The sequence below is a fragment of the Homo sapiens genome, chromosome 10, assembly GCF_000001405.40.
Source record: "Homo sapiens chromosome 10, GRCh38.p14 Primary Assembly".
Lineage (NCBI taxonomy): Eukaryota > Metazoa > Chordata > Mammalia > Primates > Hominidae > Homo > Homo sapiens.
Window position 1 is genome coordinate 50,652,536 of NC_000010.11, and position 12,855 is coordinate 50,665,390.

Here is a 12,855-nt window from a genome sequence, read left to right on the forward strand (position 1 = left end):
GCATTTGGAGATAGGGCCTTTAAGAGGCCATTAAGATTTAAATAAGTCATAAGAGTAAGGCTCTAATTTGATAGGATTGGTAATCTTGTAAGAAGTGTCAGAGAGCGAGGCAGGATAGGGGAGAAAGAGGAAGACAGAAAGAGAAGGGGATAGAGAGAGAGAGAGAGATCTCTTCCCACCCTTTGAGAACACAGTGAGAAGGCAGCCATCTGCAAGCCAGGGAAAGAGTCCTCACCTGACACTGCTGCCAGACCTTGCTCTTGGACTTTCCAGCTTCAAGAACCATGAAAAAAAATAAATGTCTATTGTTTACGTTACTCCATCTATAGTATTTTGTTATGGCAGCCCTAGCACACTAAGACAATGACCTTTTAATGACTTATTGACTTATTTCCTGCCTGTGTAATATTATTCATATTACTATGGCTCTTATATACAATTAGGTATATACTTAAACCTTAGTATATTTATAGAAACAGACAAAGCATTAACAGTGCATTTCTGAAGATGTTTTTCAGATGCACTATCACGCAAGCACACAAGACAGCAGGTGATAGTGCCAGCAATTACTGCAGGATTGACTCCAAATCCCATCATCCTGGGAGGAACTGGCAAGAGAAGATCATGAAACTTGTCAATAGCATTGCTACTATACGAAATAAGAATGACCCAGATAGTTGATGAAACCAAGATTAGGATTTGCTGTAAACACTAGTGTCTGTACATATATTAATGTCTGAGGAGATAGGGTTGGAATTTTACAAATCATATTCGTTCAGAATTGTAAACATACAAAACGATTTTCCTGCTCTCTACTGGAGCAGCACCATCTGCTGGACCCACTCAAAATGCAAATTCTCCAACCCTGATGGAACTAAGCAAAGTCAGCAGCCTCCTCTACCTGCTCCTTTTCTGGACCCTAACATCCCCCTTCTTGTTTCCTGACACTGGCTGACACTTCCTTCCTGTGCTCATAAATATAGATTAGCTATTTATATTTCTTGTTTCCATTATGTTTCCTGCAGCTTTGTTCCCCGTGTATAATGTATGTTAGGAGAATGAATGTGAGGAATCTCTGTCAGGAGGTTTTTAATAAAAAAGGTCGTCTTTAATTTTGCAGAGAAGAACCTTGAAAGGGGAAGCTATTTCAAGGGTGTAGTCCTCCTTAAGCTCAGTTCTTTTCCCAAATACAGTGTGTGTGTGTGTGTGTGTGTGTGTGTGTGTGTGTGTGTTATCACTTGCCTAGTTTCCTGTCTCTATTTCTAACCTGTTGACCTCTAAGCTCCAAATTTCCCTCCTCCGACCTTTTCCTCTTTCCTCTTTCTCCTTTCTGGCTCCGCAGACTCTGAGGCTAAACCTGTTCTTAGCCAGAAGATGTGTAACAAGCTCCACACTCAATGCTAATCTATTGCTGATTCAGCCCTTGCCTTTACCCTGGTTCTAGCAGATTCTTACTGAACGCACTTCCCATACTCAACCCTCAGTTCCCTTAGTGAACTTTGCCTGTTTAACCTAATGCCTGAGTGCCTTCCTTAATTATCTGCCCAGATCCTCCATTTTTTTGTGGCTCTCATGGGGGAAAATGTTGGGAGAACAATTTGAATAAAAGAACATGCCAAGATTGCTGGGAGATGGTTGAAAAAAAATCAGTGATGGTGTGTAACACCATAACACAGCATTGAACTCCCTGGAGAGCCAACTCCAAGATGGAGACCAATGTGTAGGAGGTTTATTAGGGTGTTCCCATGTGGTCAACACCCATGGAAAGAAAGCAGGATGGAGCAGAGCTAGTAGTTGAACTGCAGCACAGCCTCAAAGCCTCAGGCGATCCTTCAGGGAGTTCTAAAAATAAGATAACCCTTCCAAGGTGACTTGACTGGGGACAAGAGAGGTCTCAACCTTCATACCTCTTGTCGATCAGCCACTGGCTGTGGGCCTCCAGCAGGGGCTGTGACCTCAGGCAAAGAGTCTATCTGCAACTAAGGCAGGGGCTGTGACCTCAGGCAAAGAGTCTATCTGCAACTAAGGCAATGCCCCAACGGAAGTGACCCAGAGAGCTATCATCTAGCAGCAAGGAAAGTAAGTCCTCAGGAGACTTGGTCTTTCCTAAAGGAGAATAAGTCTTTCCTGAAGAGACATCTGGGCAGTGCATCCCAGTGTTCCCTACCCTTATGTCATCTCACCTCCAGGAAGTACCATTACTTCCTCTGCCTAGTACACAACATATTTTATTTTTCATCTCACTCTCAATCTGGAAGTGATTCCAAACCCCAATTCCAAACACTAGAAGGATTAACCCCTCTTGCGACAAGCAGCCCCAGAAGAAGGTGCACAGACAGTGCTGAGCAGCACAGGGAGTAGTTGAGGAGAACACAGTGAAAGGAAAGCAGAACCTGTTCCATGGGGGTGAAGAACCAGAAGCCAAAATTTCACAGAGCATACGCATGAAAGACAAGATACCATGGATAGAGTGAACTTGGAATAGGTAGCAATGGAGACCTTCCCACAACTGCGAAATGATTGGCCAGGAGTCAATGACCTAGAATATAATAATCAAAAACCATGAATGACAGAAGAGAAAACCAGACCAGAAAATATATGAACAGAAACCATCCTCCTAGCCAAGCTAGTCTAAGGGCTTTCCCCAGTTTTCTTAAGAAAAAAAGAGAGAGAGAGAATTTTATAACTTTCCTTGTTCTACAAATGATTTGCTTTGGTAGATCCTTAGTGAGTAGGAAGAGAAAATGTATACCAGAACCCTCTTGCTTATCTGAAATGACTCCTGGTAAATATTGGACATAATACTCTTCCTACATCATTGACATAGATATCATATACACACATAGATATATATATCGGCATGTAGATATTTATATAGATATACATGTATAGATATCTGCATATATATATTTGTATACAGATATAGACATATAAATATTAATATACCTATATATGTATATAAATACATATACATATCTATATCTGTAGAAGATATCTACCATCTTCTATCTATATATCTTCTATCTTCTATCTATAGAACTATCTTAATTTAAAAACCTTTCATATATGCATATAAAAGGTAATCAAACACAAGCCAAATGAAAATTTGTTTAGCTATGTTAATATCAGACAAAAGAGATTTTAAGGCAGAAATTATTACCTGAAAGGAAGATGTATCCATCATCCATATAAAAGAATCAACTATTGAGGAAGTTGTCAAACTTGTGTATGTATATTCACTCACACAGAGTTAACACACATTTACAATTTTTATAGAACTAAAAGGAGCAATAGCCGCATCTTTGATCATAAAGACTTTAATATACCTTTTTCAATAACTGATAGCAAAAAGGATACAAAATATCAATAATAATACAAAAATTTAAAGCAGTAGGATTAAATACTTTGATATAAAAACTGCACCCAAAAATAGCAAAACACACAATTTATTATAATGTATTTGGAACGTGTTTCAAAATTTACCATAGCTATCTATAGATATCTCTGTCTATCTAGGTAGATAGATGATAGATAGATAGATAGATAGGTAGGTAGATAGATAGATAGATAGGTTAGATAGACAGATATAGGCTGAGGTTAGGCCCATAACAAGAATCAATAAATACCAAAAATTTGAAATCCTTGACAGTGTTTTTTTGTACAACAATGTTATTAAGCTGCAAATCTATAGCAAGACTTTGAAAGTAACCAAATGTTTAGAAATTAAGCATCACATTTCTAAGTTATTCATGCATCAAAAAAGTAATTACAATGAATATTAAAATATATTTTGAATTTAATAAAAATGAAAGTAAAAATACTGCTTGTTAAAAGATGGGAGGCTTAGGCAAACCTCAGCTTGGAGATAAATGCATATGCTTGTTTAAAAAATTAAAGCTTGAAAATTAATAATCTAATTGTCAATCTCAAAAATTTAAAATGTGATGTCAAATTAAATCCAAAGAATTAGAAAAGAGAAGATACATAAGAAGCATGAGAAAAGGAAACAATCATAAAATAAATGAAATCAGCAAAAGCCAAAGTTACTTTGAAAAGACTGATAAAAATATACCATGATTATGCGTGAAATTAAAAAAAAAAAGAGTATCCACAAATTCTAAATATCATCAATAATAACAAGGAAATCATTATAGATTCTATAGTCATGGGATAGAAAAAGAGAATGTAATAAGTAACTTTAAGTCAAAAATTTTGACATAATTTGATGAAATAGATACATTTCTAGAAAATCATTAACAGTGACACAAGAATAAATAGCAAATCCGAATAGCTCTATATCTATTAAAAATAAAATTACAATTAAAGCTTTCCAAATATAGTGAGTCTAAATCAAATAAAATATTAAAAATCTGAAATGTTTCCAGGAAGAAACATTGAATTCCTAATATAAAATATAACATAGCATATGCAATCCCTTTACTGAAAATTGTGAGATTTTACTGAGAGAAATTAAAGATATTCAACAGAAATAAAGGTGTACCATGTTCCTATGTCATTCTTGGTATTAGAAGAAAGATTCAGTATTTTAAATAAATCTATATTTGTAATACACTGAAAATCACAATACTGTGATTAGTAATAGCATAATTTGTCTGCATTATATTTGGTGGCAACTGAAAAACTGACTATAAAATGCAAATGAAAATGCAGTGTATAGATAACTTTGAAGAAAAAATATAATGTGAAGACTTACACTATTAGATATAAAGTTTTTATAAATGTATATCAATTATGACATTATGGAAAAGGTGCAAGTATAGATATTTCAATGAAACAGAATAGAGAGCTCATAAAGAGAACCACACAATATATTTAGCTGATTTGTGAAAAAAATAGTGCTTCAGTACAATGAGGAAAAGATTCATTTTCAATAAATTGTGGTGTCTTTCATACATCGGTACAGAGAAAAATGAATATTAACATCCAACCTCACAACATACACAAAAATTATTTCATATAGAAGCCAATGTGTAACATAAAACAGTACAGTTTTTAAAAAGTAATACAGAGGACACTTCTATGACCTTAAGATTTAAAAAAAGACTCAAAAAGTAACTATTGAAGGCTAGTAAATAAGATAAATAGGTTAATAAATAGTAATAAAATAACATAAAAAATAGGGATTTGTAATCATAAAATAACTCACTGAGTGAAAAGGCAAGCAACAGAATGGGAAATGAAATTTGCAAACATAAATACAATAAGAACTCTTGATCGAAAGATACTTTTTAAACTCTACAAATGAATTTTTTGAAAAAAAAAAAAAATATGGCCAGGTACGGTGTCTCACGCCATTAATCCCAGCACTTTGGGAGGACCACTTGAGCCCGAGAATTTGAGACTTGTCTGGGCAACACAGTGAGAGACCTCTGCCTCTACAAAAAATTTAAAAGATTAGCCAGGCATGGTGGCCGTGGCCTGTAGTCCTAGCTACTCCTAAGTAGCTAGGCTCTTTTGAGTCTGGGAGGTCAAGGATGCAGTGAGCTCTGATCAACTGCTGCACTCCAGCCTGGGTGACAGAGTCAGAACCATCTCCAAAAAAAATTGATGTAGAAGAACTTCTAAGAAGTGAGAGTGGAGACAGAGGCCAAAGATGCTGCTCTAGGCTGCTCCGTGAATTCCAGGACTTCTGAGAAGCACCCTCTGGACAGCGTCTTTACTGCCCTCAAGGACTCAGCTGGTCAGCAATGGCCAGCCAGACTCCATCCCCAGTGTGGAGAGGAGGTAGCTGATCCCAGAGGCGCTCCTAGCAGGCATGTGGAACCCAAGAACAGCTCGCCCTGCCAAGGCAATGGAGAGCAGGCTGGCAAGGCAGGAGCTCAGGCTCTGTGTGGGCAGGCAAGGAGGAGCCCCGCAACCATGCCACCACCCCTTACTACAAGAAGCCTCTGTATGGCATCTTGCACAAGGTCATGGAGAAGAAGAACCCTCCCTCAGGGGACCTGCTAAACACATATGAGCTCTTCCAGAAGGCAAATGCCAGCAACAGCCCCTTGCTGCTTAGGCTCCTGAATGAGCCATAGAAATGGGACTGTGGCAGCACTGGGGCAGCCACCAACAGTGACCCTAACATCTACTTCCTGATCCAGGAGATGTTCTACATGCTCAACACGCTCACGTCCAACAGGTCCCAGCTGCACAGCAAAGTGGACCTGCTCTCCCTGAAGGTGAACCCCACTGAGATGGTGGCCAAATTCCAGCCGACCCCCACCACCCCATAGCAGCTCACGGGCATGGAGCTCAAGCAGATCTTGGACCAGAGCCTGTCAGGTGGGGTCCTGGCCTGCTGGCTGCTGGTGCAGCTCTTCCCCAAGCTCTTCAGCCACAGTCAACTTCTCCCAAGGCTGCAGTGCCTGCAGCTTTGAGGCCAAGCTTAAGCTGGAGTCACTGCACCTGCAGCTCATCCACAACTACATGGAGGTCTACTACCCCTCGGTGAAGGAGAGGGCTGTGTGACAGGCCGAGTGCTTGCCCCAGCTGAGTAAGTTCTTCAGCCGCTTCTGGGCCCAGCGGGAGATGGAGAACAGCCAGCCTGGTGGCCAGGCTGCCAGCTTGAGGCTGAGCAGTGGACCCCGGCCACTTCCTGGACCACAAAGATGAGGAGGAGGGCCTGTCTCTGGACAGGAGCAGCACCATCGCCTCAGACCACGTGGTGGACATGTAGGCCCTCACCTAGTTCCTGGATGAAGCCTCTTCACCCGGTGAGTTTGCCGTCTTCCTCCTCCACTGGCTCTTCCCTGAGCTCTTCCACTACAGCAAGCTGGGTGAGCAGGACAGCTGCTACGGGGACGGCGGCAAGCAGGAGCTGGACCCGCAGAGGCTGCAGATCATCAGCAACTACACGGAGGTCTACTTCCCCCACATGCAGGAGGAGGAGGCCTGGCTGCAGCGGTGCGCCCAGTGCATCAACGACAAGCTCCAGGGCCTGGGGCTGGACGCGGGCAGCGAAGGCAAGCCCCCCACGCAACAACTGCTACAACTCCTCCAGCCTGCCCGATGACATCTCAGTAATCAGGGTGGAGGACAGCTTCAAGGGCGAGCGGTGCCGCTCCAAGAAGATCTGACTGGTACCTATCGACTTGGACAAATTGGAGATCCCCAGCCCAACTTGGAGTTGCCCGGCGCCGACTGCCTGCTCAGCAACGAGCATCTTCGCAGTATCTAGGAGAGCAGCCTGTCCATCGGCAACTTCACCTCGCGCCTGCTGGTGCCCCTGTTCCCCAAGCTCTTCACCCATGACAACCTGCACAAGCAGTACAGCTGCAGCGACTCCCTGGGCAAGAAGCAGCTGGACCCGTCCTGCATCAAGCTCATTCGCCACTAAGTGCACCTGCTCTACCTCTGCACCAAAAACAATCGCGTCTGGACCCTGGAGTTCATGGGCAACCTGCACTGGAACACGAACAGAGGCGCTCCTACCAGCAGCAGTGCAAGGTCCACGTGCTGGCCCCGAGTGTAGAAACATGAGGAGCTATGCAATCAATCCTGAGAGGTTCAGGGAGGAGTTTGAGGGTCCCCCGCTGCCCCTGAGAGGAGCAGCAAGGACTTCTGCAAGATCCCCTTGGATGAGGTGGTGGTCCTTCACCGAGCTTCCCAGTGCGCTCTCCCTACCTGCTGTCCGACAAGGAGGTGCGCGAGATCGTGCAGCAGAGCCTCTCCGTGGGCAACTTTGCCGCGGGGCTCCTCCACCGCCGAGAACTTCCGGCTGCAGTACAACCATTTCCGGGCTTGCAACAAGAAGCAGCTGGACCCTACGCAGCTGCGGCTCATCTACCACTAGGTGGAAGCCGTCTACCCCGTGGAGAAGGTGGAGGAGGTGTGGCACTGCGAATGTATCCCCAGCAATGATGAGCAGTGCCACTGCCCTAACAGGAAAAAATGCGGCATCCTCAAGAAAGCCTAGAAAGTGGAGAAGTGAAGGCCCATGGCCTGCCCAGAGACTCGGGGTCACTAGAGACTGAGCTTAGGAGCATGCCTATGGCATCCACAGACAGGCACCTTATGTCCGTGGGGTGTGTGGCTTACTACACTTGCACATGTAAACACCCAACCAACCACAAGAAAGAAGACTTGAGTTTGGTCTCTTGTCCTCTAGACTTCTGTCCTGTGTTCCCTGGCGGTGCAGCCTGAGTGTGGGGAGCGCAAGCTGTGAGAGCAGGGACTAGTGGGTAGCGGTCCTCTCTACCTGGTCGTGTCCTCCCCAGCCCCTCACAATTTCAAATGCAAACTCAGCAGCTCTCTTGCTCCTCTTCCCATATTTTACAGCTTTCATTTTTATCCAGTTTTTTAAAAATTAAAAATAAACCCTTAAAAAAATCATTGGGCTCTTTGGGGGCCATTTTACTTAGAAAAAAATCTTTTTAAAAGTGCCATCTTCAGTCCAGGTGCGGTGGCTCATGCCTGTAATCCCAGCACTTTGGGAGGCCAAGGCAGGTGGATTACCTGAGGTCAGGAGTTCAGGACCAGCCTGGCCAACGGTGAAACCCCATCTCTACTTAAAAAAAAAAAAAAGCAAAAATTGGCCAGGTATGGTGGTGGGTGCCTGTAATTCCAGCTACTCGGGAGGCTGACAGGAGAATCACTTGAACTCGGAAGGCAGAGGTTGCAGTGAGCCAACATAGTGCCACTGAGCGCCAGCCTGGGCGACAAGAGCAAAACTCCATCTCAAAATAAATAATAAATAAATAAATAAGTAAATAAAAGTGCCATGTTCGTGTACAATGCCTAATCACAGCTTCAGGTGGCATGGATACTGATTTTACTGACCTTGTCTTTTACATCTGATTCTGGAAGAGTCAAGAGGCCTCTTGGATGGCAGTAGAGGGGATGGAACAGTGTGAAGTCCTTTGTGACCATGTGCAAGTTTTCCCTTCTGCTCCAGTGCCTCAGAAGTCTTCCATTCAGCTTGGCCTGTCCATCAGGCACGTGGGTAAAATGTTGTGCTCACTGTGTAGAGGAGAACACTTGATGATGATGAAGAATGTAGAAAGCCATGGAAACATGTCCGCAGTGTCTTCATTTGAGCTGTGTCCTTCCACTGTCCTCATTCCCTCTCCACACATGGTTGCTTGTCGGAGATTCTGGGTTCTGGGAGCTGTGTGGTGACTTCCCCAAACCTCAGTGTTAGCTCCTCCAGGCAGCACCACATCCTCGTTCCCCAGGGCGGGTCCATGTCTGGGCACCTCTTGGGGATACCAGGCATTGGAAGGACACAGGTCATCTCAGATGGGGCACCCATGTCCCTTCCCAGAGTCCACTCAGAACTTTCCCCTTGGACTCCCTAGAAAGTCCTGCTGTCCTCCACCTGGCTACCTCTTGGCTTTAGGAGACACATGTCTTCTCTCCCCACTGACTGAGAATGTCAGACTCCTGCCGGCCAGCTGCATGCTTTCCAGGAGCACCAACAAGGAAATTCCCTGACAGGTAAAATCTTTAAAAATGACACTTTTACCTTCCTGACTTTGGGGGCCAAATGCCTAAGAGGGAAAGGAAACAGTCTAACCAGAGTCCAGGAAAATTAATTGAATCCCATGGGGTAGACATAAAACCCCTGTGGGAATATTACAGGTTCAATAACCTAATGGCTTAGTATTTTGCTACTTTAAAATGCAGAGATAACAGAAACAATCTGAATATTCTTCATATAGCTGGTAAGGACTTCAGTTCCAGTGGCCATATGACATAATTTTGCCTGTACCCAGAGGCATTTTTAAAAATATAACATCAGATTTTAAGGAATGTAAAGTTGCTAATCTAACTTGTAAATTTGCTTGTGTCATTTACAGATTATTTCTGTTGAAACTGCAAACCTGAATTACTGAAATCTAGAAAGGCACAGGGACTTACTCTGTCACACACAGCTACTCATGCACACACACACTGCTTACTAAAAGCTGAGGTGAGAGGAAGGGGGCCTACATGAATAACAAGTTCAACTTCTTTGTGCCTGGAAAGAAGGGACTAGCGCAGCCAGGAGACTCACTTTACCTCATCGCTTGGGCCCTTCTCTATGCCTTAGTCTCTCCAGCACATGCACACAGCATGCACACACAGGCGCCCTACCCAAAGACAGCTGTGGCCTTCTCTCCACCTGGCCGCTGGTTGTTGGGGGTGAGGGGTCCCATGAAATTTGTTCTGGTTTCTACGATGTAAACAAGAAGACTCTAAGCCCTGAATTGCCCTGCTTTCTAGAGGGTGAAATGTTGACCCTGCAACTTTAGAAGCACAATTATTAATAACTCTTTTGAAATTCCCATCTACCCATGTCAGAGAAGTTCAACAAGTTCTAGGAATTAAATATGTCTGTTTGTAACCTAGAGCATGCTCAATTTTTGGAAGCCATATTTCAGTGATGATTTTCTTAACACCTTTCTCGTGTAGGGCTTCTTCCCTGAAAATCTTACAGTCCCTTTCTGTGAAGAGAAATGGACACATCCTGGGAACTATTCCTGTGCCTCTGGACTGTCATCAGGAAATGACTGCAGGTCCTGTGCCCTGTCTATATTATGTCCTCACTTCTCCATCCATACAGGTGGCTCCAGTGGGCATTTTTTTAATTTTAAACTTTTTACACGAAGCAATAGAAGTAGAAAATACTGATTTTTTTCAAAATTTAATGTGTTCCATGAAATCTACTGGCAATCCCTTTCCTTCCCCCTGTCTAAATTCTTTGGTTTTTACTTGTTTGTTTGTTTTTTTTGTCTTGTATCCCAAGGACTAAAAAATTAGCAGACACGTTTTGATGTTGAGTGAACTAGTAAGTCACAGTAGGTGGTAGGGTTCATTGGTTTCTCTGTTAGTAAGTTTTTAAAGAATGAAGATAGTTATAAATGTACTGAGTGGCCGTTTAATTGGTAAGGGTCGCTGGCCCAAAAACACTAGAGCATGGCCACGTGGTTTCCTGTAGAGATGGCCTCAGTTTCCAACATTCCCCCCAAATGTTTGCTTCTCACCCAATAGAGGGGGGATCTTGAGACTCCCAAGTGGAGGTTGTGAGCTTGCACCCTGCCTCACTGTGTAGACAGACTGTATGGATATATGAAGTGGGGGTGGGGGCCAAGGGGCTATTACTGCTGTTTGGAAATATTTGCCTCTTGTAGATCCAGCCTTAATGGTTTTGTGACATCCTAGTACTAGCAAACCCTGCACAAAGTGGGTATCAGAGTTAATACTGTGAGGAGACAAAGTAGTGAGAATAGTTTTGCTAAAGACAATGAAGTATCACATAATGTCTGCATTTTACCATTGATTTGAGTGCATCGTTAGAAAAACTTAATGTAATGAAAAACCCAGGACATTTTTGGAAATTGTATGCTCTCTAGCAACTTTGTGTGAATTTTTATACAAACACTGTTTTATGAGTTACATAAAATGTTATAAAAATAGAAAAAAAGAGGAAATTATCCTATACTCTCCTGGTACAAGCACAGACCACACACTCACAGCTCTAGAGTGGACACACAGCCACCACATTTCCTGAATAAATTCACACTCTTCAGATTACACAAACTCAAACATGCAGATGCCTGAATAACACACCCACGATATACTCACAGATCCAAATACACACATGGCTATATACTCCCAAATACAAACATACACAAGCCTCCATCTTGAAAACTATAAATATTCTGTCCATATCCTCAGGTTACATACACATAGTGGTAACACCCAAATACACCCAGCCATCTCTCTGCCTCCAAATTCTTCACACCAAAAATGTACACCTAAATTCTCATCTAGACACCGTGAGCATAAAGTCCTCTACTCTGAATACACACAAATCCAACACACAAACCATTAAAACATAGAACATTACCTGCCTTTTCAAATGTATGCACACATATTCACAATATCTCACAGAACCGTCAAAATACACAAAACCACCCCCAGCACGCAAATACACACACACCATTCAAATAGGAACACATAACTATCCAGTACCCTCAGAATAAACCCAAAACCCACTATGCTTCTGTAATATACTAAAAACTCACCCATGTTCCCCTAAAAACACATTTCTGACACCACTGAATACTTAACCTACCTACATAAATATATATCTTAAATATATAACACATATACATGACACAGAATACAAATACCCAAAACAGATACAAATCCCCAAAATGTGTTAGTATAAAAATATCCCACACCTGCCAATGCCTCCCTTGTCACACACCAGCCTTCACACACCTAAACACACTCCCTCATCAACTCCCCATACTCCTTAGTGAAATATAAACACAGCAATGGAACATGTTCTGAATGTATACACAATGGGGCAGATGTATCACTATGAAGAGTATTCATGGTCTTTCTCTGTGGTGTCTCTGTCTGAGAGATTATACATCCCTAGTCTGTTTAACTCGAGTATGGCCACATGACTTGTTATGGCAAATGAAATGTGATCAGAAATGCCATGTATGACTCTGAGCAGAAGAAGTCCTTCTAGTCCTGTCCCAAATGAGGCCGCTTCATCCATCTGGATCCAAGGCACAGGACCAGTAACTGATCAAAGCCAACCAATGGAGGACACATAACATACATGAGAAACCTACCTTGTTGGAAGTCACTGAGATGCAGAATTATTTTCTTACATCAGATAATCTGAGATATTTTGATGGATACATACCCCACCCACCAAAACATAGAGAAATACCACACTGCACACACACACACATACACATCCTCTCAAAACTCCCCAAATATGTGTCCTCCATTATCTACAGTTAGAAATACACATCTACAACCTTCCATGATCCAAATAAATGCACAGACACACCAACTCCCAGTCTCCAAATGCATATATTAGACACTCCAACCTTCTCAGGC

At 42.7% G+C, this 12,855-nt stretch overlaps 1 pseudogene, besides 2 other annotated features; it reads left to right on the forward strand.

The window, feature by feature from the left end:
- Nucleotides 5,568–11,411, forward strand: BEND3P1 (BEN domain containing 3 pseudogene 1; annotated as a pseudogene).
- Nucleotides 7,836–7,915: an enhancer, noted in NCBI's record as "active region_3372". NCBI's record gives its function as "activates an Ori minimal core promoter by ATAC-STARR-seq in GM12878 lymphoblastoid cells {active_cell/tissue: GM12878}" and the evidence as "EXISTENCE:reporter gene assay evidence [ECO:0000049][PMID:35858748]".
- Nucleotides 8,036–8,085: an enhancer, noted in NCBI's record as "active region_3373". NCBI's record gives its function as "activates an Ori minimal core promoter by ATAC-STARR-seq in GM12878 lymphoblastoid cells {active_cell/tissue: GM12878}" and the evidence as "EXISTENCE:reporter gene assay evidence [ECO:0000049][PMID:35858748]".